This window comes from Homo sapiens, chromosome 11 (assembly GCF_000001405.40).
Source record: "Homo sapiens chromosome 11, GRCh38.p14 Primary Assembly".
Taxonomy (NCBI): Eukaryota; Metazoa; Chordata; class Mammalia; order Primates; family Hominidae; genus Homo; species Homo sapiens.
Genome location: NC_000011.10, coordinates 35,081,072 through 35,107,462, shown reverse-complemented (window position 1 = coordinate 35,107,462; position 26,391 = coordinate 35,081,072). Strand labels below are relative to the sequence as shown.

Sequence of the window (26,391 nt, the reverse complement as noted above, 5' to 3'; positions counted from 1 at the left end):
AGAAGAAGCAAACCCAGGAGTCCTGCATCTGACAGAGGGCAAGAAGGTGCTGGTGATGTACCACAACATATACCATCAGTCCGCCTGACTTTAGCACCACAGGGTGGACAGTTGCACACACTTTACCTGAGTCCCACCTCAAGAGCAAAGATAGATTGTTCAAGGTCTTTCTTAATTGTGCTCCTTGGGGCTTTTTCCAAAGGTTCAGAAGGCCACTTAGCCAGCACAGTTACAATGGAGAAATTCGTGGAATATATGTCTCCAGGCGCAAACTCAATAGGTAGGTGGTGGAAGTGAGTGGATAAATGCCCGGAGCCCATCAGCCTCTGTGGAAATCATTCTGGGGCACATGCTCGTAATTCCTCAGGGAGCCCCCAAAGTCACTGCACCCCAATTGCCCACAACAATAACCAGATCATTTATAAACACTCCATTGGCTTTTCTTTCTTCTTTCTGCTCCCTGAGTCAACCTCCAACACTCAAGTTGCACTGCTTTCAAAAGAACCCAAACTAAGACACAGAAAATCAACTTTTGGCAGAGCAGCTCAATCACTGACAATCTGCAGCTGAACCTGAGGAATAAATAACCCTATATATCTCCTTCTACCCTCTGATATCCTGCCAGTTCCTCTCAGAAACCAGAAGTGAAAACATCTCGTTGATGTGGTCTGCAGAGACCAGTCTCCCAGGGCCCAGAGGAAGACCGAGAAGGGCAGAGAGTAGATTGGGAAGAGCAGATAGTAACTCTTCATCCTAGCCCATCTCTTTTGCCTTTTGGCCTCCATAAAGTCCCTCAAACACTGTATCATGTCAGGGTGAGTTCAGTCACATTGTCACCTGCAATCTAAAACTTTAATCACCACCTGTGCTCTTCTTAGAAGGTAGTGGGAGGAAACATAGGCAAAGATATAATTAACATAAAATATGGCTTCTACAGACCCTGTTTCTGTGCCTAGTCATTGGGATTAAGGTTATAACCATACTTTCCTTCTTCTACTACCCATTCTATGCTCTCCATACCTTCTGCCAGCACCCTGGTTGAATATGGTCCTTTACCTGTTGTGACCCAAACTTTCATGGCCACAGGATATGAGTCCTGGGTGGTACTCTCTTAATTCGGAAGCTGTAGTTTTCCAAATGATCGGGATTACAAGACAACACTACCAGAATGCACCTCTGGTCTTTTATGTTTGAAATCTTCCAAATTTGTAACATAGTCCTTGCTTCCATTGCGCAGCAGCACCCAAATTCTTCCTTGGTAATATAGAGACTCTCTTTTCTATTGGTTCAAGGATAGGTGCTCATAATGGCCAGAAGTAGGCTCAGCTTGTAATTTATTAGAACCATGGCTGTGGTCTCTAGAGGAAGCATTCTATCCCTGGGCATTAGGTCCTTCAAACCCATTGAACCAAAGGACACAGGAAACAGAGGCAACAATTTTTAAGTTGGTCATTTCTTAAAATAGTGAGAGGGGACACTTTTACCTCTACCCCTGGTTTTCCAGACTTGTGCATTCTCTGGATACAGGAGATGGTACCACATGTTGGCTGTTAGCCATATACTGCAGACTGTAGGGTAGCACCCAAACCTCACAGGGTGTTGCCTGCCAGAAGCATAGCTGAGGCTTTAGCAGGCTATTGTGCTTTTATTTCTAGGGTGATAGGTAGCCTCTAAAGTGGCTCCCAGTGATCCTTGCTTTCAGGTGTCCTTGCCCTTGTGTATTTACCTCTCCTTGAATGTGGGCTGGACCTAGTGACTTGCTTCTAATGAATAGAATAAGGCAAAAATGAAGGGATGTCACTTTCAGAGATTAAGTTACAAAAAGACTCTGGCTTCTGACTTGCTGCTCTCTCTGACTCTCCTGCTTGCTTGCTCTGATAGAATCCAGTTGCTCTGGTGTGTGTTGCTCTCTGGGGAGGTCTACATGGCAACAGACTGATATCTCCAGCCAGCAGCCAGAGAGGACCTGAGGCCTGCCAACAGCCACATGAGTGAGCTTGGGAGTGCCCACTCCCTTAGTCAAGTATTGAGATCACTACAGCCCTAGCCAATGTTTGCAGCCTTGTGAGAGACCCTGAGTTAGAGGTCAGATGCCTGACCTACAGAAACTGGAAGATGATGTTTGTTGTTTTAAGATGCTAAGTTTGGGGTAATTTGTTATGCAATAATAAACAACTAATACATAAAACCAGCTCCCTATAGATGAGAGGATCAATGGAAACACCAGGGAATTCTGCAGTCATGAGCCCCATGCTACACTTTTGTTGTTGTTATAAAATGAGCTCCTTGCTTGGCACCAATGTTGTGTGGAATATTATGGCAATAGATAAAGCCCTCAATACAGCCCCCAAAAGATAGTGCTGTTAGAAGCATTGTGGGTAAGGAAAGCAAATTCTGCAAGTGACGTAGATATATTTTCCTATGAAGACAAAAACCTTGCCTTCTCCATAATAGGAGGGATCCGATGAAATCATCTTGCCACCAGGTAGTTAGCTGATCCCTTGGGGAATGGTGCCACATTAGAGGCTTATACTGGCTTCTTTTTTGTAGCACAGCAGTCTTAGCAATGAGGATAGCCTGATAAGCCTTGGTAAGGGTGTGTCTTTTTGTTATCTACATGCATAAATACCATCCATTTTTGCTGGCATGAGCACTTTGCACATGGAATACGCACACAGTTATCTAAAAGAGAGACTGACATCTCTTAGACAGATCATCTTGTCCATCTGATTACTTGGTGCATTATCTGCAGTAAATGCCCTCAGTAGGTAGGTATGTACATAGGACACAGTCATCTTTACACTTAGTATCTATTCCCAGGGATCCATATACAGACTTCTCCCCAGACCTCCTTGTCACCAATCTTCCAATTCTGTTCTTTCCATGTCCTTGGACTTCCGAAAGTTCTACCCACCTGGAAGATTCACCACTACCACTATTTTTTAGGGCCACCCCGAGTAGGTCTGTAGGTAGTGGCCAGTACTTCTGGTTGGTTCCAGAACACCTCGTAGACCCATGTATAAACTGGTCTGTCATTGTCATCAGAAACTTCTCATGAACCATAGACATGCTTTCAAGGCAAAGGAGTAAGTGTCACGGGAGTCTGGGCCATCATCTTACCCAGGTTACTTGCGTCATTCAGACCACAGAGGCTTTCTGATATTCTATTTGTATTCTCAGTTGCATATTTAAAACTTTTCATTTGTTCTTTTCTCTATGAATATTCTGTAGGGTTTTCAGAGGTAACAAGCTCACACCATAATTTTTGCAATCATCATTGTCACCAGATTGACTAAAGACCCATGGCTCCTGATCTCAAAACATAATGCCCTTCATGCATATTCCACACCATCCCATGCCAAAATGAGTGATGATTTAAGTAATCGTAAGCCTACTGCAAACCACTATAACAAATGCCCCTCCCCATACCACAAGATACAGTGTGCTTATGTGTGCTTAATGAATGTGTGAGCAATCCAACCTCAGAATCCCATTTTGAGGGGTGTTCTCTGGGCTACTTCCAGTACCATTTACTGTAAGTGTCCTGGCAGGAAACAAATGATTCTTTGATAAAAGGGATTAGGAGAGCCTAATGATGGCATTAGTTACAAATGTATGGCTGGGATAGTAAAGAACGCCGGGGTTGACAAATGAGGAAGCCACGGCACTCCTAAGTCTGAGGAGAATTAGAGCGTGGAGTGGTTCCCAGAACCTAGTAGATCTCTAGCTGTAGGGTCCGCCTGCTTTGGTAGAAGAGCACAGCCATTGCCAACATGAGGTCTGGTGGGAAGGGAGCTGGGGAAACAAATACCCTGACCACACTCTCATCCTGCCTTCCAATTCCCTCCCTTGCTTGCCATTGGTCAAATCCAACCAGAAGTCAGAGGGCATGGAAGGTTGGTGATGCAGTACTCAGATATCAGCCTGCAGGGCCACAGAGCAGATGGGCAGGGTGGCAGCTGTGTCTGGAGGGCAGACAGAGACTGTTCAACAACACTTCTAATCTTACCACAGACTAATTTATCCTCCCAAGAAGTAGGAATGGAGTTCTCCTAAAGGTAAGGAGCTTCATTTCTATTGCCATCTCTGTTGGGCCTTCAGTATCCTCATCTGTTAAAGGATACACTGGATTAAATTTCCTGCTTTCCAAGCTGTCTCAGTACCAGTGGGTATATGGGCCTAGGCAAGAGTGTGCTAAGGATAGAGGTAGACTGTGATTTTTCCTCAAAGATTGTAGATGTGTGGTTGCCATAGCCACACATTTTAATGGAAAAGGTTCATTATTTCTTTAAAAATATATTATGAGATAGAATACAATGTTCTCATGGATTATTGAAATAAAATGAAGTTAGAGTAGTATAGTTTATGTATCAACCCCATTCCCTCCTAGGGAAATATGTCACTGTTATCTGCTACTAGGCCAGTTTTGATGGGGAAGTTTGAGAGGTGTTAGATGATTCCTAGGAGCTCCCCCATATCTGATAGCCAGAGCTTCTTAGATTCAAACTTCTCCCGGCCCTGGGGTTCCATTCTCTGAGAATCTGAATTCATTTTTCAAGTGGTCTCAAGTAGAAAGGCCCACTTAGGAAAGTATGAAGCTCCCTCAAATATGTGTCTGAGTTTGAGTCCACCAGACTTCCAAGTCCTACCTGGAAATACCATAGAGGAATGCGCTGTTGCCCTTTGATTGGCTTTCTAGCCAAGAGCTGCTCCCTGGAGGGCTGCTGGTGCCATGGAGGGCCAAGAGCTAATTAGAAAAGTATAAAGAGTAAAGGGCAAGAAGACACTGGTATCTGGGGGTGTCAGAGCAGAATCAGAAGAGGACACAATGAGATGAAGGTGGGAACAGAGAGAAGCTTGACAGTTGGTCACGGGGGTGTAGAAAGAACCATGGAGATGGTGGAGTTTATTTTAGGATTTGCACTGAATTTTGTTATTGCTTCAACAGTGCAAAAGGAAACAGACCTAAATCCATCCAGCTTACCGTTATTTATTGGCTCTGTGTCAGGTGCTGTGCTAAGAACTAACAAAAGCACTGGGATCAAGATAGATGAGACCTTCAACTTGCAGGCACTTACATTCTAGTGGGGGAGAAAAATAAGGCAGAAAGAAGCAGATTGATTTAGCAATTCTGATACTGATAAGCAGTGTGAATAAAAGATGCTATGGGATAGGCAGGGATTCTTAAACTTTCCCTGTAAAGGCCAGATGGTAAATATTTTCAGCTTTGTGGGCCATCCATCTCTCTTGCGGCCACTCATACATGGAACTCAACTCTGCTGTTGTAGCCCAAAAGTAGCCATAGAAAATGTGTAAATAAATGAGAATAGATTTGACCCAAGACAACAATTTGCCAACCTTTGAGACAGAGCAAGCTGGCTGAAAGTGGGGCAGATGTCAAGCAAGGAACCTTGGGGACCCGAATGGTGAGAGGTTAGTCATGGGTTACCTGGGAGATGAGCATCTCAGGTAGGACAATGAACACTTGCAGAAGCCCTGGTGTGAAGGGGCTCAGCACATTCCAGGGTCAGAAAGAAGACTAGCCATCTGGAGTATATGAAATAAAAAATGAGAGAAGAATGAGGTGATAGCACTGAGGTAGGATGCCACTCAGCCTGGATTCTTTCCAAAATATGACAAGAAGTCACTGGAGGGTTTTAAGCAAAGTGATGACCAGAGAGGCCGGGTTCTTGTCAGAAAGATGAAAGAAAATAGCAATTTTCCATTTACAGAGCACCTAGCTAGTGCTTGATACATGGAAGTACCTAATATATCTTCTTGTGTATTGCTTGATAAAGCACCATGCTTCCAAGGGGTCAGCAAACCCTGGAATAGAAGAGACTCTAGAAGATATCTAGCTCACATCCCCTATTTTATAAATAAGTAAATTGAAACCCAGAGAGGTTAAATGCTTTGCCCACCATAAGTCATCAGATTGGGACTGGAACTCTAAGGAGAGAATTTCAGCAGAGAAGCGTGCCCAGATGACAAAGCATTTGTTGTGTGAAGGACGGGATGATTTTGGATCCAGGATGGTGACATCATGACTATGTCAATATTGGGTCCAGTGCCACGTGGACTCAATGTGAGAGTTCTAGGGAAAGACAAGCTGTGAGAAAAATCTGAGCAGTGAAGATTTCCCATTGTCATGGAGCTGAGCCTTGAGTGCACAGAGGAAGCCATGGGTATGAGGGTTCTCCCAGTGGTTGCCAGCTAAAGAATCATGGCCATGAGACTCCACTGAGGGGCCAGAGGTGCACAAGAGGAAAATGGCAGGCACCAAATGGAAATGGCAAGGGCTTATTTAGGAGCATATTTGACATACCCCTAAGAATGCTCAGAAATACTCGAGTGACACTTTGAGAAGAATTGAAGTATGAATAGCAAGGGGGCCAGTGAAACATGATTTATGGCTGTCTACTGCACCCCACCTTTGCCACCCAGACTCATGTCCTCTCGGGGAAACACAAGTCATGTTTCAAATTCATGTGAGACTGTATGGGCCCACATCCTGTCCATCCAGCAAATATATCTGTCACCACCTTAAGTATTTATGTATTACCTCTTCCAAAATATTGGTTATTCTTGGAGCTAATACAAGTAGTATTAATGACCCCAGGTCTGTCCCAACGCAAGCTTTGGCAACCTAACACACTGGTCTGGGCAGCATGGTGAGAGATGGAAGGGTCTTACCCTTCCTGTGGAATATAGCGGGCTGGGCAGCAAGAGGGCTATGCTCAGTGTCCTGAAGTCAGATTTCAAGAGATGAGGCTCCTACTGAAGCAGGGAAGTGGTGTCTCAGCAGATTAAGACCCTGCTGCCTTGCTGACCAGGACAGCCTTCCTCTCACCCCTGGGCTAGAGCCCTAAAATCTTGTCTCTTGCACAGCAAAGCTATCTTTAATTTTTTTTTTTTTTTTTTTTTTGAGATGGAGCTTTACTGTTGTTGCCCAGGCTGGAATGCAATTGTGCGATCTCAGCTCACTGCAACCTCTGCCTCCCAGGTTCAAGCCATTCTCCTGCCTCAGCCTCCCGAGTAGCTGGGATTACAGGCATGTGCCACCATGCTCGGCTAGTTTTGTATTTTTAGTAGAGACGGGGTTTCTCCATTTTGGTCAGGCTGGTCTTGAACTCCCGACCTCAGGTGATCCGCCCGCCTTGGCCTCCCAAAGTCCTGGGATTACAGACGTGAGTATCATTCTATTTTTAGAATAAAAAACTGCTATGAACCATACTTTCCATTCTTCAGGCCCTTGCCTGGGCTCTATTTCTAGTGACCAACTGGAAAAATAACTCTCATTCTGCACGGACATACTTGAAATTTGGCCAGTGGTTTTACAGTCCACTCCCTGGAGAATTGTTTCCCAAACAATGACAGGGCTGTGCTGTTAGGAGAATGTCATCCTGTAGTTTGCAGAGAGAATGTTAACCTCCACAGTGCCAATCCCACTACCTTCAAGCCACAGGGAAATTTGAATTGTATTGCTTCTCTCAAAGATTCAATTACAGACTTGGGGCTTTCTGCTAATGAAGATGATGAAACTTCAGGTCATGTAAATAAGAAAAGTTGAAGTTCCCAGAAAAGAGTGCTGGCTTTTTCGTGACTTTTTCCCAGTGGCTTCTATTTCTAACGGGAATTATTAGCCATGACAGAAGAGAGGCTTGATCCTTTACTGTAAACAAAACTGGACATGAAATGTGCTGAATGAACCTGAATTCCTCTGACTAGATAGGAACTAAGCCTGCCCTGGGAAAAGGTGGGACGAAGACATGGAAACCGACATTGGTGTAAGCATTAGGAGATGTGTGTTCATAGTGGGACTGGTGATTCTAAAGCCATTAAAGGGCATCAGTTTCGTGAGCCTAATATGATAATTTCATACCTGGGATTATTCAAATTGCTTTGAATGTGCCTCCACTCTTAGGAGATGGAAACTGTACTCTCTTTCTGAGGATGACTCATCTCTAGTACATTCCATGAAAACGGACAATGCCTCTGGAGGGCCTAGGGCCTGGATTTTCAAACTGCAGTGCATGTACCCTTGGGATTACACAGATTATGAAAGATACACAAAGCTTAGAAAAACAGGGTGTATGTTTCCAAAACATTCACTTTACTTGCAGATAGGTGGTTTAAAAAGAATGTTAAGATATATAATGTTTATGACCACTAAGTGTGTATTCAAAGTCTTTTCTGTATTGGGAAAATGTCCTACATTGTGAGCCCTGCCTTCATAAAGTAGAAATTGGAATTTACTATTCCATCCTCTCTTGTAGTTGGGCTATAGGCTGGGTCTTAGGCAGTACCATGCAGATACAACCACTAACGACTTCAATTCGGTCAAAAGCAATATGAGGAAGGAGCCTTGAGAAATCTGTTTGGGCAGCACTGTGACAAAGCCACACGCAGCAGTAGCAGAGCCTCTGTATCCAGTCCCCAGTGGGATCAGAGCAAGCACCTCTGTCTGGGGCAGGCTGGGGTGTTTGTGTCCAAGGCCAACACCACTGGACATTTGCTGGGGCAGCCCCTGGGGACTGGCTTCATCATGTTTCCACTACGTGGGGAACCCAATGCTTTAGATTTCCTAGAAGATCCACGGTTGCCCTTAAATTCTTGTTCTGCCTGAGCTACCTAGAATGGACTCCATTATTTTCAACCAAGAACTAACTGTAAATGATTCACATGAACATATTATGGAATCAAATTCAAGATTCACATGTATCTTAAAAATAAACTTTAAATGTCAATGAAATTTCACATTTGTGTCGGACACTTTGGGCTAAACCTTTTTACATATTTTTTTGCTTGTTAGGGGCATTTTTGGTGGAAACATTTGAACATTTTTGGCCTGAGGTATATGCTTATGGAAAAAAAAGGAGAAATAGGGATTAGGTAGGACAAAGGGAAAAGTTAAAGAGAAAAAGACAAATAAGCAAATGAAATATTTGTGCACATAACTGCCTGCCTTAAAAAAGTCCAAGACATACGTTATTCCATGTGATCCTCATGTCAACTTTGTTATTGTTCCCATTTTACAGATGTGGAATCTGAGTTTGCACAGAGAGACTACAGGACTTGGAGGAGAATATGTAGGTGGAAGACAGCAGCGGCCAGTATTGAAGCAGAGCCACCACCATCAATTCTGATTATTTTCCCATTCTGTCACACAATTGGAGAGGTGCTCTGTTTTCTGGTCTTCTTTTTCCAAAGAGTACAGGAAACAAGCTCAGAAAGCAAGAATCAAAGTGTTTCTTTCCTGCCTCCCTATCCAATGTAACTTCTTTCTAAAACTTGGCCCTACCACTCTGTCGAGGTCAGTCTGACAGAGGTGGCTCTGCTTGTACCTTGTGGGGTCACATATTGAAATCCTCCTCCCCTGAACAGCAGGCCTCGATGTCTGCAGCAAAGTGTAAACAGCCTTTGGCCAGATACAGCAGCTCCCGGGGTGCTGCTGGCTTTGGCTGGAGCAACCTTCTCCCTCCTCCCTGCCTGTCCCTCTCATTATACAGTGTCACAGTGGCCTGGGTTTCACACACACCGGCCTTTTTCTGGAGTAACACATGCCAGAGGGGTCTGGAAAAGTAAACTGGGCTGCTGAGAAAACATCATGACTTTTTTAAAAAACATTTTAATTTTTATTTTAAGTTCCAGGGTACATGTGCAGGATGTGCTGGTTTCTTACAAAGGTAAACATATGCCATGGTGGTTTGCTGCACCTATCAATCCATCACCCAGTATTCAGCCCAGCATGCATAGCTATTTTTCCTAATGCTTTCCCTGCCTCAACCTTACTGCTGGACAGGCCCCAGTGTGTGTTGTTTCCCTCCCTGTGTCCATGTGTTCTCGTTGTTCAGCTCCCACTTATAAGTAAGAACATGCAATATTTGGTTTTCTGTTCCTACATTAGTTTGCTGAGGATAATGGCTTCCAGCTCCATCCGTGTACCTGCAGAAGAAAAGATCACAGTACTTTTTATGGCTGCATAGTATTCCATAGTGTATATGTACCATATTTTCTTTAATGCAGTCTATCATTGATGAGCATTTGGGTTGATTCCATGTCTTCGCTATTGTGAATAGTGCTGCAATAAACATATGCATGCATATATCTTTGTAATAGAATGACTTAGATCCCTTTGGGTATACACCCAGTAACAAGGTTGTGGAGAAATAGGAATGCTTTTACACTGTTGGGGGGAATGTAAATTAGTTCAACCACTGTGGAAGATGGTGTGGCAATTCCTCAAATATCTGGAACCAGAAATACCATTTAACACTGCATGACCTTTTGGAAGCCAGTGTACCACCACATGGCCTGTGCTCACTGGGGCAGCTTGAGGCCAGGCTGGGAGAAAGAGAAGAGGAGAGACTCAGCCCTCCTCAGGGCCTGCACCCAGAGCTTCTGGCCAAGGGGCATTAAAGCCCAACTGGCACAGTATGTTCAGACCATTATAACAAAACACCATAAACTGGGTGGCTTATAAACAACAGAAATTTATTTCTCACAGTTCTGGAGGTTAGGAAGTCCAAGATCACTGCATCAGCAGATTTGCTGTCTGGTGAGAGCCCACTTCCTGGCTGATGGACAGCCAATGTGTTGCTGTGTCCTCACATGGCTGAAAAGATGAGTCTCTCTGGGGCCTCTTTTATCTATTTATTTATTTATTTATTTATTTATTTATTTATTTTTATTATACTTTAAGTTCTAGGGTACATGTGCACAACGGGCACGCTTGTTACATAGGTATATACGTGCCATGTTCATTTGCTGCACCCATTAATTAGTCATTTACATTAGGTATTTCTCCTAATGCTATCCCTCCCCCTGCCCCCACCCCATGACAGGCCCCGGGGTGTGATGTTCCCCCGCTGTGTCCATGTGTTCTCATTGTTCAATTCCTACCTATGAGTGAGAACATATGGTGTTTGGTTTTCTGTCCTTGTGATAGTTTGCTCAGAATGATGGTTTCCAGCTGCATCCATGTCCCCACAGAGGACATGAACTCATCCTTTTTGTGGCTGCAAAGTATTCCATGGTGTACATGTGCCACATTTTCTTAATCCAGTCTATCATTGATGAACATTTGGATTGGTTCCAAATCTTTGCTATTGTGAATAGTGCCACAATAAACATATGTGTGCATGTGTCTTTATAGTAGCACGATTTGTAATCCTTTGGGTATATACCCAGTAATGGGATCACTGGGTCAAATGGTATTTCTAGTTCTAGATCCTTGAGGAATCGCCACACTGTCTTCCACAATGGTTGAACTAGTTTACAGTCCCACCAACAGTGTAAAAGCGTTCCTATTTCTCCACGTCCTCTCCAGCACCTGTTGTTTCCTGACTTTTTAATGATTGCCATTCTAACTGGTGTGAGATGGTATCTCATTGTGGTTTTGATTTGCATTTCTCTGATGACTAGTGATGATGAGCATTTTTTCATGTGTCTGTTGGCTGCATAAATGTCTTCTTTTGAGAAGTGTCTGTTCATATCCTGTGCCCACTTTTTGACGGGGTTGTTTGTTTTTTTCTTATAAATTGGTTTAAGTTCTTTGAAGATTCTGGATATTAGCCCTTTGTCAGATGAGGAGATTGCAAAAATTTTCTCCCATTCTGTAGGTTCCCTGTTCACTCTGATGGTAGTTTCTTTTGCTGTGCGGAAGCTCTTTAGTTTAATTAGATCCATTTGTCTATTTTGCCTTTTGTTGCCATTGCTTTTGGTGTTTTAGTCATGAAGTCTTTGCCCATGCCTATGTCCTGAATGGTATTGCCTAGGTTTTCTTCTAGGGTGTTTATGATTTTAGATCTAACATTTAAGTCTTTAATCCATCTTGAATTAATTTTTGTATAAGGTGTAAGGAAGGGATCCAGTTTCAGCTTTCTACATATGGCTAGCCAGTTTTCCCAGCACCATTTATTAAATAGGCAATCCTTTCCTCATTTCTTGTTTTTGTCAGGTTTGTCAAAGATCAGATGGTTGTAGATGTGTGGTATTATTTCTGAGGCCTATGTTCTTTTCCATTGGTCTATATATCTGTTTTGGTCCAGTACCAGGCTGTTTTTGTTACTGTAGTCTTGTAGTATAGTTTGAAGTCAGGTAGCATGATTCCTCCAGCTTTGTTCTTTTTGCTTAGGATTTTCTTGGCAGTGCGGGCTCTTTTTTGGTTCTATATGAACTTTAAAGTAGTTTTTTCCAATTCTGAGAAGAAAGTCATTGGAAGTTTGATGGGGATGGCATTGAATCTACAAATTACCTTGGGCAGTATGGCCATTTTCACGATATTGATTCTTTCTGTCCATGAGCATGGAATGTTCTTCCATTTGTTTGTGTCCTCTTTTATTTCACTGAGCAGTGGTTTGTAGTTCTCTTTGAAGAGGTCCTTCACATCCTTTGTAAGTTGGATTCCTAGATATTTTATTCTCTTTGTAGCAATTGTGAATGGGAGTTCACTCATGATTTGGCTCTCTGTTTGTCTGTTATTGGTATATAGAAATGCTTGTGATTTTTGCACATTGATATTGTATCCTGAGACTTTGCTGAAGTTGCTTATCAGCTTAAGGAGATTTTGGGCTGAGAGGATGGGGTTTTCTAAATATAAAATCATGTCATTTGCAAACAGGGACAATTTGACTTCCTCTTTTCCTAACTGAATTCTCTTATTTCTTTCTCTTGCCTGATTGCCCTGGCCAGAACTTCCAACACTATGTTGAATATGTGTTGAGAGAGGGCATCCCTGTCTTGTGCCAGTTTTCAAAGAGAATGCTTTCAGTTTTTGCCCATTCAATATGATATTGGCTGTGGGTTTGTCATAAATAGCTCTTATTTTGAGATACATTCCATCAATACCTAGTTTATTGAGAGTTTTTAGCCTGAAGGACTGTTGAGAATTTTGTTTAAGGCCTTTTCTGCATCTATTGAGATAATCATGTGGTTTTTGTTGTTGGTTCTGTTTATGTGATGGATTACGTTTATTGATTTGGGTATTTCGAACCAGCCTTGCATCCCAGGGATGAAGCTAACTTCATCGTGGTGGATAAGCTTTTTGATGTGCTGCTGGATTCGGTTTGCCAGTATTTTATTGAGGATTTTTGCATTGATGTTCATCAGGGATATTGGTCTAAAATTCTCTTTTTTTGTTGTGTCTCTGCCAGGCTTTGGTATTAGGATGATGCTGCCCTCATAAAATGAATTAGGGAGGATTCCCTCTTTTTCTATTGATTGGGATAGTTTCAGAAGGAATGGTACCAGCTCCTCTTTGTACCTCTGGTAGAATTCGGCTGTAAATCCGTCTGGTCCAGGACTCTTTTTGGTTGGTAGGCTATTAATTATTGCCTCAATTTCAGAACCTGTTATTGGTCTAGTCATAGATTCAACTTCCTGGTTTAGTCTTGGGAGGGTGTATGTGTCCAGGAATTTATCCATTTCTTCTAGGTTTCCTAGTTTATTTGCATAGAGGTGGTTATAGTATTCTCTGAAGGTAGTTTGTATTTCTGTGAGATCGGTGGTGATAACCCCTTTATCATTTTTTATTGCGTCTATTTGATTCTTCTCTCTTTTCTTCTTTATTAGTCTTGCTAGTGGTCTATCAATTTTGTTGATCTTTTCAAAAAACCAGCTCCTGGATTCATTGATTTTTTGAAGGGTTTTTTGTGTCTCTATCTCCTTCAGTTCTGCTCTGATCTTAGTTATTTCTTGCCTTCTGCTAGCTTTTGAATTTGTTTGCGCTTGCTTTTCTAGTTCTTTTAACTGTGATGTTAGGGGGTCGATTTTAGATCTTTCCTGCTTTCTCTTGTGGGAATTTAGTGCTATAAATTTCCCTCTACACACTGCTTTAAATGTGTCCCAGAGATTCTGGTATGTTGTGCCTTTGTTCTTATTGGTTTCAAAGAACATCTTTATTTCTGCCTTCATTTTGTTTTTTACCCAGTAGTCATTCAGGAGCAGTTTCCATGTCATTGTGCAGTTTTTAGTGAGTTTCTTAATCCTGAGTTCTAATTTGATTTCACTGTGGTCTGAGAGACAGTTTGTTGTGATTTCTGTTCTTTTACATTTGCTGAGGAGTTTTTTACTTCCAACTATGTGGTCAATTTTGGAATAAGTGAGATGTGGTGCTGAGAAGAATGTATATTCTGTTGATCTGGGGTGAAGAGTTCTGTAGATATCTATTAGGTCTGCTTGGTGCAGAGCTGAGTTCAAGTCCTGGATATCCTTGTTAACCTTCTGTCTCATTGATCTGTCTAATATTGACAGTGGGGTGTTAAAGTCTCCCATTATTATTGTGTGGGAGTCTAAGTCTCTGTGTAGGTCTCTAAGAACTTGCTTTATGAATCTGGGTGCTCCTGTATTGAGTGCATATATATTTAGGATAGTTAGCTCTTCTTGTCGAATTAATCCCTTTACCATTATTTAATCGCCTTCTTTGTCTCTTTTAATCTTTGTTGCTTTAAAGTCTGTTTTATCAAAGACTAAGATTGCAACCCCTGCTTTTTTTTTGCTTTCCATTTGCTTGGTAGATCTTCCTCCATCCTTTATTTTGCGCCTATGTGTGTCTCTGCACGTGAGATGGGTCTCCTGATGGGTCTTGACTCTTTATCAAATTTGCCAGTCTGTGTCTTTTAATTGGGGCATTTAGCTCATTTGCATTTAAGGTTAATATTGTTATGTGTGAAGTTGATCCTGTCATTATGATGTTAGCTGTTATTTTGCCCGTTAGTTGATGCAGTTTCTTTCTAACATCAATGGTCTTTACAATTTGGCATATTTTTGCAGTGGCTGTTACTGGTTGTTCCTTTCCATGTTTAGTGCTTCCTTCAGGAGCTCTTGTAAGGCAGGCCTGGTGGTGACAAAATCTCTCAGCGTTTGCTTGTCTGTAAAGGATTTTATTTCTCCTTCACTTATGAAGCTCAGTTTGGCTGGATATGAAATTCTGGGTTGAAAATTTTTTTCTTTAAGAATGTTGAATATTGGCCCCCACTCTCTTCTGGCTTGTAGAGTTTCTGCCAAGAGATCAGCTGTTAGTCTGATGGGCTTCCCTTTGTGGGTACCCCGACCTTTCTCTCTGGTTGCCCTTAACATTTTATCCTTCATTTCAACCTTGGCAAATCTGACAATTATGTGTCTTGGGGTTCCTCTTCGCGAGGAGTATCTTTGTGGTGTTCTCAGTATTTCCTGAGTTTGAATGTTGGCCTGCCTTTGTAGGTTGGGGAAGTTCTCCTGGATAATATCCTGAAGAGTGTTTTCCAACTTGGTTCCATTCTCCCCGTCACTTTCAGGTACACTAATCAAGCGTAGGTTTGGTCTTTTCACACAGTCCCATGTTTCTTGGAGGCTTTGTTCATTTCTTTTTACTCTTTTTTCTCTAACCTTGTCTTCTTGCTTTATTTCATTAATTTGATCTTCAATCACTGATACCCTTTCTTCCACCTGATTGAATCGGCCATTGAAGCTTGTGCATGCGTCATGTAGTTTTCATGCCATGGTTTTCAGCTCCATCAGGTCATTTAAGGTCTTCTATACACTGGTTATTCTAGTTAGCCATTCGTCTAATCTTTTTTCAAGGTTTTTAGCTTCCTTGCGATGGGTTTGAACATCCTACTTTAGCTCAGGGAAGTTTGTTATTACCGACCTTCTGAAGCCTACTTCTGTTAACTTGTCAAAGTCATTCTATGTCCAGCTTTGTTCCCCTACTGGCGAGGAGCTGTGATCCTTTGGAGGAGAAGAGGCGCTCTGGTTTTTAGAATTTTCAGCTTTTCTACTCTGGTTTCTCCCCATCTTTGTGGTTTTATCTACCTTTGATCTTTGATGTTGGTGACCTAGAGATGGGGCTTTGGTGTGGATGCCCTTTTTGTTGATGTTGATGTTATTCCTTTCTGTTTGTTAGTTTTCCTTCTAACAGTCAGGTCCCTCAGCTGCAGGTCTGTTGGAGTTTGCTGGAGGTCCACTCCAGATCCTGTTTGCCTGGGTATCACCAGTGGAGGCTGCAGAACAGCAAATATTGCAGAACAGAAAATATTGCTCCCTGATCCTTCCTCTGGAAGCTTCGTCTCAGAGGGGCACCCGCCTGTATGAGGTGTCAGTCGGCCCCTACTGGGAGGTGTCTGCCAGTTAGGCTACACGGGGGTCAGGGATCCACTTGAGGAGGCAGTCTGTCCATTCTCCTAGCTGAAACACCATACTGGGAGAACCACTGCTCTCTTCAGAGCTGTCAGACAGGGATGCTTAAGTCTGCAGACGTTTCTGCTGCCTTTGTTCAGCAGAACAAAGGTGGAGACTATGCCCTGCCCCCAGAGGTGGAGACTACAGAGGCAGCCGGCCTTGCTGAGCTGCGGTGGGCTCTGCCCAGTTCGAGCTTCCCTGGCCACTTTGTTTACCTACTGAAGCCTCAGCAAAGGCAGGTGCCTCTGAGGCCTCTTTTATAAGGACACTAATCCTATTGATGAGGGCTCCACTTGCATGGCCTAATAATCTGTTCCAAAAGGCCCCACTTCCTATTACCATCACCTAGGGGGTTAGCATTTTGACTTATGAATTTTGGGGGTCATAAACATTCAGACCACAGCACAAAGCCTTTTTGTGAGTAGAAAAGAGAAGGTGGAAAGGAGATGAGGTGAGTGATGATTCGAGTGTCCAAAACTCTAATGTTAATGATTATGTCGACCATTCATTGAGTACTTACCATGTGCCAGACTTTCTGTTGGGCACTTTACACACTCATTCAATCTTCAACAAAACCTGGAGACAAGCATTATTATTATCCCTGAGTGTTTCAGATGAAGACCCTGAGGCTTATGGCATTTGCCCAGAGTCACACGAGTAAAGAATGACAGAGCAGAGATTTGAGAACAGGTCTTGCAGATGACAAAAGCTATATTAGATTAAGTTCTCAGCCTTTTGAGTTCTCATTGGCTCACAAAACAAATAGACCTTCTAGAACAGAGTAGTAGAGTGAATTGAAAATCTTTTGTCTCCCCACAATTGTCTGAGTAGTAAGCATCTAAATCCAAGTGGAACTTATCAGCGAGACTACTGAAGAGTCAGCCACAATACTATCAAATGTGCTTTGAGAGCTCTGCCCATCACTCTATAGTTCCTGTAGGCTCCCAAGCTGTCAACAGATTAACCACATTCATACCAGACAAACCTGGCTGGTTGGATTTTATTTCATTGTCCATACAGCACCAAGTCAACATGGGCTCGTACTATTTCATGCTTACTTTCAAGGCTGGGTTATGGTCTCACATCCTCAAACCCTTTATCACTCTGTAGGTGGAAGGCGGAGTACTTTTTGTCATTGTACATGGATTTTTATTCTCCACACCCCACCCCCCCCACCCCGTCCTAAGGATTATCTTTCTGACTTACACGGGAGGAGTTGAAGTAGATACAGAGAAAATATCATTCTCTTTTGTTTGTCAAAAAAGAAGAGTGACAACTTGGAACCTCCTCTCTTGAGATCAGTTCATCTCTTTGTCCCTCAGCCTCAGAAGAGGAAGTGGGAGAGGGATTTTTCATATAAGACATGCAAATGGCCTAGTTCATAGGTCTCAAACTACATGCTATTTATGGAGCCAGACAGAAATCCAGACCTTCAGGGTTACAAATATGTGGCCAAAGCATACATTGCTAATCAATCACAGCACTTCTCTGCACCAGGATGTGGCTCTCAAATGTTCCTGGAGTGCTGTAAGCAGTCATTACCAATCAATCAAGAGAACACAAGAGAAAAAGTATATTTTAATGTGAACCAGTCCTTGGGCTTCTTATGGATAGGAATCCTACCTTACGAAAACATTTGATCCCCGTTCATCATAACCTTACAAAAAGTAATTGGGATAGCCCTCAATGTTTGTCGAATGCATAAATGAATGAAATAATAAATTAATGTAGCTATTTAGACAGATGTTACTAAGTCTCTTTCTGCTGGGCACCATCTTCTCCTCCTGGGCATTGGCCTTTGACTAAGATGCTGAAATCATCTGGGTGCTGAACTTGTAGTTCGTTCACAGAGATCCTCTCTTGCTACAATAGCTTTTATTGTTATATTTTTGAGATGGGATCTTGCTCTGTCACCCAGACTGGAGTGCAGTGGTATGACCATAGCTCACTGCAGCCTCCAATTTCTGGGCTCCAGCAATTCTCCCACCTCAACCTCCCAAGTCACTGGGACTACAGCTGTGTGCCACCATGCCTGGCTATTACTTTTTTTTTTTTAATAGAGATAGGATCTCACTATGTTGCCCAGACTGGTCTCAAGCTCCTGGCCTCAAGCAATCCTCCCACCTCAGCCTTCCAAAGTGCTGGGACTATAGGTGTGAGCCACCACACCCAGCCTGCTGCAATTGTATTACTTTTTTTTTTTTTACACTAATCTTAATGCTGTGGAGCTTGTGTCTCGGCGTCCTATGGAGCTGTTACTGAAATAATCCTTTCTACCTACACCTTGCCTCTACCTTCAACTGTAAGAGTCAGACAATAATCTATTGAGCCTAAGCCAGAGGACCCATTAGAATGACAGACACCGGGGTGGATTTTCTCAGCCTCTCTATGACTAAGTCTTTGTTCCCTGGCCAGCCTTCTCTCCTTGACTTGTTCTTGCCTTAGGACGTTCTCTTCCTGGAGGCATCACATGCAAATAGCCTTCTAACAGACCTGCCCAGTCAGTTTCTCAGAGCTTCCTAGTCAGATTGAATGTCAACAGTGAACACAGTTTAAGCCCAATCTATGAACCCTCCCTCTTTACCCTTACATGAAGAAGACCATTTTTACTAGTTATTGCTAAGTAACAAACCACTGCAAAATTTAGTGACTTAAAACAACAACCATTCCTTATTTCTCATAATTCAACAGGTCAGCTGGGTGATTCTGCTGATCTTGGCTGTACTTACCTTGTGCTGTGGCCAATTAGTGAAGTGACAGGGAACAACTGGTCTAGAATGGCCTTGGCTGAATGTGGCTCTCTTCCGTGTGCCTCTGACTTCCTTCCAGCAGACTAGCCTGGGCATGGTCTCATGATGAGGGCAGAGCTTAAGGAGGGCAAGCAGAAATGAACAAGTGTTTTTCAAGCTTCTGTTGGAGGTTAAAGCAAGTTACATGACTAAACCAAGAATCAGTGTGGGAGGGTACTACCAAATGGGTGGCCTCAGGGGAGAATGAAAAACTGGGGCTGTTAATGCAATCAACTTACCTCACCATGAAAGGGAATGTTAACTTCATTAGTGCGAAACATTTGAAGTAGACCCAGTCCCTCTCTTATGATGAGGAAAGTTTGAAGCCAGTGACAATCATGCTTCAGATGAATGTCTCAAGATCAATAGCAATGTCACAAGACCTATCGCAAGCCCTCAGTTGAATCTCTCTGGTAGGGAGCCATCTTCGGCCTTGGTCAGTCTGACAGGTGTCCCTCTAGAGCCTCAGCAGAAAAAAACAAGAATGAAGAACTTTCCTGGATAGCCCAAGCTGCCCTTAAAGTCCTCAGTCACTTCCTGTCTGTGTCTCAAAAGTACTTCCTTTGTATCCACAGTGACACAGAAAGCTGACCTCCCATTGTTCCCAGACTCTTAGCTCTTGTACCAAACTTGGCCAGCTCAATCTGGATATCCCTCCACTTGCTTAGATTTCCACAGCAGCTGTCAGCATCTGGTGGTTTTGAAGCTGTGGGTATCGAGAGTGGGAGTGACAATTCATTTTAGTGCTTCCAGAAGCTTACTTCCTATCTGGTTCCAGCTGCAAGTCTTCAGCCAATGCAAGTTCTCAGCCTCAACCTCAGCAGGGAAAACATTCAGAAAACCCAGATGATTTTATCTTTCTGAATGCTTCATTCCCCTCACTCCCCCATGGAACAGCTGAGTCTTATTGGAGATTTGATCATTCTCATGGGATGGGCTTGATGGCCCTGCTAGTGTGATTGTCTGTAGCAAGATTGCAAATTGGCAATCACCTTTTGGGAACCATTTCAATTGGAGAGCTCCAAAAAAAGTAGTTCTTTGTAGGTTTCTCCCTTTTGGGTGGGGTCCTTGGTTCAAAGATAGACAGTAGGATTTTTTAAATCTCCTGTTTCTCAGGTGGGCTGAACCAATTCCGGTTGCCTTTCCCACTAAAGGGAAAAAGATGTCAACTCACATGTCTTCACACAACACTCCAGGTAATGACTTTAATTGATAAGATTTAGCAACTGAAATGAAAACTATTTACCATCTTGGGTCAGACTGGACCAAAGATTCTAAGGTAGAAATGAATAAACCTAGTTGTTATGGGTTGAATTGTGTCCCCCCAAAATTCATAAGTTGAAGTCCTACTGCCAATACACCAGAACATGGCCTTATTTGGAAATAGGGTCTTTGCAAGTGTGATTAGTTAAGACGAATTTATAATGATGTAGGGTGGGCCTGTAGTCTAATATGGTTGGTATCCCTATGAAAAGGGGAAATTTGGGCACAGATACACAGAGGAGAACATCATATGAACACGAAGACAGGGATCTATAAGCCAAGGAATGTAAAAAATCTCCAGCAAACCAGAAGCCAGGGAAGAGTCATGGAGCAGATTCTCCCTCACAGCCCTTAGAAGGAACCAACCTGCAGATACTTAGATGTCCAACTTGTAGACTCCAGAACCATGAGACAATAAATTTCTGTTGTTTACGTCACTCTGTTTGCTGTACTTTCTTTTTTTTTTTGAGACGGAGTCTTGCTCTGTCGCCCAGGCTGGAGTGCAGTGGCGCGATCTCGGCTCAGTGCAAGCTCCGCCTCCCGGGTTCACGCCATTCTCCTGCCTCAGCCTCGCTGGGACTACAGGTGCCCTGTTTGCCGTACTTTCTATGGCAGCCCTAGAAAACTAATAAACAGGTCAAAGGGAAGCTTGCCTATCGGGGGCTGATTATTTCTAGGAGGCTCAAAGAGTCAGGGAATTTTAACAGAAAAGTCAACTTGGAGACCAGATAGACAAGTTCTTTCTCCTCAGCCACACATCCATTTTACAAATAAAGAAACCAGAGCCCAGAGAATTTGCAGGCATTGATCAAAGTCACTATGCCAGCTGAAGTCACAGCTGAGATTTAACTGACTTTTGACTGTCACTTCCCCAGTGCCAAGTTCCATACACACTTTAGTCATTTGCTTACATATCTTTTCCAACTTACCATGATGCCCTGAGAGCAGGGACCAGAGGCTTAGAATCCAGTACGGTGCCTCACCTATAGCAAGCCCTAAGTAATATTTGTTAATAATAGTTAATATTTCCAGCATCTACCACAAGGGTAATCTTCATGCTGACCCAAGAAATGGTGCTTTTCCAAAAGCAACTTCTATAACAGACAGAGAACAAAAAGCAAGGCGTTCTATGTGTCAGGCTGCAGACAGCAACTCCCAGTGGACCTCAAGTTATCAAGACCTGTCCACAGTCAGCCTGGGCCAAGCGGCCTCTTCTGCTGACAATATGGTGCTCAGAGAGGAGTAAGGCACTAAGCAGTGCCTGCCAGCCTCCTTCTAGCTCTTGGCCATCTCCTTCAGCAGCTACAGATTTATGTCTATTCAGCAACTAAGGGTCTTAGATGCTTTTTAAGGGCAGGGACCTTCTAATTTATCTGTATATTTTCCACACTTCCTGGGGCCCAGGGTTTGGCTCACATCATGGCAGATGTCCAATGAATGTGTGTTGGCTTGGGCCAACCTCCTATGCAGTCGCCTAGCTGTTGAGCAAAAAGAAAGAAAAATTTACCAGGTATTAAATTGCTAAAAATATACCTTTGGGGGAAGTGTCATGCCTTGTTATTTGTAATTCTTCCTTCGAAAGCTGGAAAAGTGTTGAAAAGAAATCATCATCAAAATGATACTTTTCAACATGTAAAATGTTTGCCCAAGTTTAAAGAACAAAGCTTCAGTCAGTCCTGTCTCTGCAGGAAAATCTCTCATAAGCCACACTTAAGATGTAAATTTTACATTATGCTTGATTTTCCATAATAAACAAGTGCCTTTAAGAGCTGAGGTGTGAAACCCATTTTATACAGAGAGCAAGTTCTAAAGATCGTGATTATATAAAATATATTTATGAGGTGATGTTATACTGAGATCAAAATCAATTTTTCATGTTTTTATGGTTGGAATGGATTCTGAGGAACAGAATGCAATTTTTAAAAAATTGAACTGATAGGAAATCAGAATTGGCTTCATTCATGACAGTTGTGCAAGACCTGCTTAGATTGGAAAGAGGGAGTCACTAGAGGCCATTTGGTCCAGGACCAGAGCTGGCTACATAATGGTGGGACCTAAGTGCAAAGTGAAAATGAGGCCTAGCCATGGCAGATAAGTTAGTTTCTCCTTCCCACAGCCTGTCTCTCCTCAGTCTATCTACAGTGCCCCTACCAAGGGATTGCAACCTCCACACCAGGACACACCTGTAACCTGGATAGGAGTGGGTGAGAAGGCCCCATCCAGTTGCCTTCCAAATATACCACCGTGCTGTCAGCCCAGGGTAGGGACAACACCGCCATGCTCTTTCCCAGGATGCCATGGTGTGCATACCCAGCAGAGCCTCTCCCCACAACTGCTCCCAGGCCCCTGCAGAGGGTGTGGGCAGAATGTTGCCTCCCTGTCTGCCAACCTGACCTAGTAGTCACCCTGAGGGAAGGGTAGCAAGTGTTGTGGAGCAGAGGGTGGGGAGTAGGTAGAGTGGAGCCTGGGACACTAAGGGCCCAAACAGAGGGTGGGTAGGAGGCAGGACCACGAGTGAGCTCCTTTGTCCCATGAGACTCCTCTTACAAAATACACATTGAAAGATAAATTAAGAATTGTGCATTAAACCCCAAGCAAGGCCTTCTGAGCAGAGGTCCCTGTGCAACTGCACTGGTTACCTGCCCATGAATCTAGCCCTGCCTGGGAAACTTGAATAGGTGCTCAGTTTTTCACGTGGGCTTCAATATATGTGTTGGTCACATGCTGAGTGTGCAGTGATTGGTTCAATGCTATATAAGAGCTTAGCCAAATGGGTTTTGTAAGATCCTTGGTGGGATTGCAGGGGGCAGGGTGTGGTTAGGAATGCTTTTATTCTTGTTTCTCTCAAAGCACTTAGAAAGGTGCTTTTGACCATAATGCACTAACAAACATCTCATGAATCATTTAAGTCACAAATTGAGATGCTGAGAGATAAAATATTCTGCTACACATATGTTGAGTTGAACCCCAGTTTTAATTGCTGCAATATAGACTTTCTGACCAAGAACCTTTGAGCATCTCTGGTAGAAGGAGTAACTTCAAGGGGCAACATGGGAGAGGAGAACAAGAGGGAGGTTTCTGAGAAAGATGTTTGCTGGCTCCGAACCTCAGCTCACATCACTAATACATATGCATCATAAAGCAATTTCGATTCTTCAGGGAGAATTAGGTAATGATGTACACTTGGAAATTATAAGAAAAATGGAGCCACGCCTTAAATGTTGTGGTTAAAGACTAGAAACCACAATCTCTCAGCCCCTTACTATGGAGACTCCTTGAATAACAGAATCCTCTCCTGACTCCATGAATAATTGCCTGGAAGAGGGAGCAGGAGATGAGGGCTTTCCATTCAGTACATTTCAAATACCTATCCGGTGGACTCACTGGCTCCCTGCTGTTTGAAATCCTCATGCCAAACGGCTGCTGGGAGAAGTCACGAAGCCATGGATGGAAATAGCCCTGCCCACTGGGAGAAAGAGGATCTTGGAGGGCTTTCTTCTCATCCTCTTACAAATACCAATGAAGCATTTTTGCACCTCTGCCAGTTGCTATGGATACCAAGTGGGGAACACATGTAAACATTCGGCATGCGTGAGACACGCTGAAGTCCGCCAGTGCAAAGGTGGTTCCTCTTCTCCTTAGCTTGTCCCCTTTCTGGCTTAGAGCTGCAGCTTGCAGCCACATCAGTAAGCCCTGTAGTTTCAGGCCTCAGCGTGGCTCATTTTTAAGGAACTCATTTACCATGAGCCACTGGGAAATACCCTGCATTTAGGGTCATGAGACTTGAATTTGAAATACTTTCCTGCTAGTTCTTTAGTAGTAGAAAGTCACTCTACCTTCCTGAGCCTCCACCTTCTTATCTGCAAAATAGGGGAAAGAAAGAGAAGCAACTCATATGGGGAGGAGAGTGAGAACAAACACGACAGTCTTTGTAAAGATGAAAGCACTTGTCATGTTTGGGAGTGCTATTATGTAATTACTGGATGTTCCCAAAGGCTTGTCAAACTGTGGTTGGATTTTGACATTGGCATGTGGAAACGGGCCTGCTCACCTTCAGAATTAGCAGTTAGACCCATTGCTCCCTCTTAAGGTTTGGTGTGGATGCCTCCACCCCACAGAGAGGTTAGAGGAGGAACCCCGACCTTGGGGCTTGCTACTGGCACCTCTCCTCCCAATTTCTCGGGACCTCTAGGCCAACAGAGGCCCCATCTCACAGCCTTGCATCCAAATGAGAGAACAGCTCAGCCGCCAATCTCTTCCTACCTGTGAAAACACCCAGGTGTTTTCTTGTTACATAAATGCACTCTCAAGGTGAAGAAGGCAGCAGATCCAGCAGCAGGAACCTCCCTAAAGAGGCGCAGAGGGCCGGGGAGTGTGTGTGGACAAGCCCTGGTGTGCATTCCAGAGGCAGCCCCTCTCTGGCTAGCTGTGTGGCTTCTTTTGGGGTGTGGGAGGAGGGGCGGAGCCAAGGATTGGGTGTAGTCCTCCCTGGCTGACTGTGGCTGCCACCCACCATTGGAGAGGTCTCAGAAGGTTCCTCCCTATCTCCGTGGTAACCCGACACTGTGCTGTGGTGAGAAGAGGAAACTGCAAACAGAGTTGGCTCCTTCCACCAGACCCGTTCTGGAGTTCTAGATTTCTGCTTGTGGTGTGTCAATCATTCAATCAGACCTAACAGCAACTCCAGATTGCGGCTGTCAGAAGCCGTGGCCTCGCACGCCTTTCCTGGGCAACACCATCAGTCCACCAGGGCAGGCTGGACACATGGAGCCTGCGACTCTCCCCTGCCCAGTCCAGCCCCTGCTCCACTGCTGAGGAGCAGAACTCACCACATAGGAATGTGAGCAGCCAGGATGGGAGGGAGGTGAAGGATGAACGGGGAGCTGGGGCCAAAGAAGAGCCCAGCCAGGTCAAGAATTCCCCCAGTTCTCTTCCTTTGACACTCCACCCTCCAAATCGCACATCTGGAAGGAAAAATGAATCCCATATATATTTCAGAATTTCCATGAAGTTGAGAAGGGAGCACTATGGCATCTTGCAGGTTTTTCTGTTTTGCTTTTATTTTTATTTTTTTTTTTTTTGAGGTGGAGGCTCACTGTGTCACCCAGGCTGGAGTGCAGTGGTGGAATCTTGGCTCACTGCAAGCTCCACCTCCCAGGTTCAAGTGATTCTCCTGCCTCAGCCTCCCGAGTAGCTGGGATCACAGGCGCGCACCACCACACCTGGCTAATTTTTGTATTTTTAGTAGAGACAGGGTTTCACCATGTTGGCCAGAATGGTCTTGAACTCCTGACCTCAAGTGATCCACCTGCCTTGGCCTCCCAGCATCTTGCAGATTTTTGTTTGTTGTGTTTGCTTTGCCAGGAAAAGGAGGAGGTGAAAAGGGAGCCTTGAGGGAGAGAAGACATGATATTGACCATAACAGGTAGGAGGGGCTGGTGGGAGCTGGGAACATTCATTTGTTTAATTAGTCAATATGATGTGAGTAACCACTAAGTACCGAGCTCTGCTTTAAAGATTGAGGGGACAGCAATGAAGACAACAGGCTCCTGACCTCATGGAGCCTCCATTCTAGTGGCAGAGGCAGGCAATAAAAGTCACACATTTATTTATTTGTTTATTTTTTATTATTATACTTTAAGTTCTAGGGTACATGTGCACAATGTGCAGGTTTGTTACATATGTATACATGTACCATGTTGGTGTGCTGCACCCATTAACTCGTCATTTACATTAGGTATATCTCCTAATGCTATCCCTCCCTCCGCCCCGCACCCCACAACAGGCCCCAGTGTGTGATGTTCCCCTTCCTGTGTCCAAGTGTTCTCATTGTTCAACTCCCACCTATGAGTGAGAACATGCAGTGTTTGGATTTTTGTCCTTGTGATAGTTTGCTGAGAATGATGGTTTCCAGCTTCATCCATGTCCCTACAAAGGACATGAACTAATCCTTTTTATGGCTGCATAGTATTCCATGGTGTATATGTGCCACATTTTCTTAATCCAGTCTATCATTGATGGACATTTGGGTTGGTTCCAAGTCTTTGCTATTGTGAATAGTGCCGCAATAAACATACGAAAAGTCACACATTTATTTAAACAACAAAAATACAAGTAAGTAAACGATATTATGCCCACACACATATACATGAAGCAGAGCAAGAGATAGAGTGGAAGAGGG

General features: G+C 43.6%; 1 long non-coding RNA gene across 3 annotated transcripts, besides 3 other annotated features; it reads right to left on the bottom strand.

Moving 5' to 3' along the window:
* Positions 1 to 9,608: 9,608 nt before the first annotated feature.
* Positions 9,609 to 24,630, bottom strand: LOC105376627 (uncharacterized). 3 transcript variants are annotated; one of them, XR_931194.2, is made up of 4 exons: positions 20,577 to 24,630; positions 18,888 to 19,025; positions 16,679 to 16,734; positions 9,609 to 9,945 (listed from the first exon to the last, which is right to left on the bottom strand). It is a non-coding gene; the product is annotated as an uncharacterized LOC105376627 (long non-coding RNA). The 3 variants fall into 3 exon arrangements; XR_931193.3 differs by lacking the exon at positions 20,577 to 24,630 and adding an exon at positions 19,187 to 19,433; XR_001748184.2 differs by lacking the exons at positions 16,679 to 16,734; positions 20,577 to 24,630 and adding an exon at positions 19,187 to 19,433.
* Positions 17,562 to 17,671: an enhancer, noted in NCBI's record as "active region_4616". NCBI's record gives its function as "activates an Ori minimal core promoter by ATAC-STARR-seq in GM12878 lymphoblastoid cells {active_cell/tissue: GM12878}" and the evidence as "EXISTENCE:reporter gene assay evidence [ECO:0000049][PMID:35858748]".
* Positions 23,933 to 24,082: an enhancer, noted in NCBI's record as "active region_4615". NCBI's record gives its function as "activates an Ori minimal core promoter by ATAC-STARR-seq in GM12878 lymphoblastoid cells {active_cell/tissue: GM12878}" and the evidence as "EXISTENCE:reporter gene assay evidence [ECO:0000049][PMID:35858748]".
* Positions 24,433 to 24,552: an enhancer, noted in NCBI's record as "active region_4614". NCBI's record gives its function as "activates an Ori minimal core promoter by ATAC-STARR-seq in GM12878 lymphoblastoid cells {active_cell/tissue: GM12878}" and the evidence as "EXISTENCE:reporter gene assay evidence [ECO:0000049][PMID:35858748]".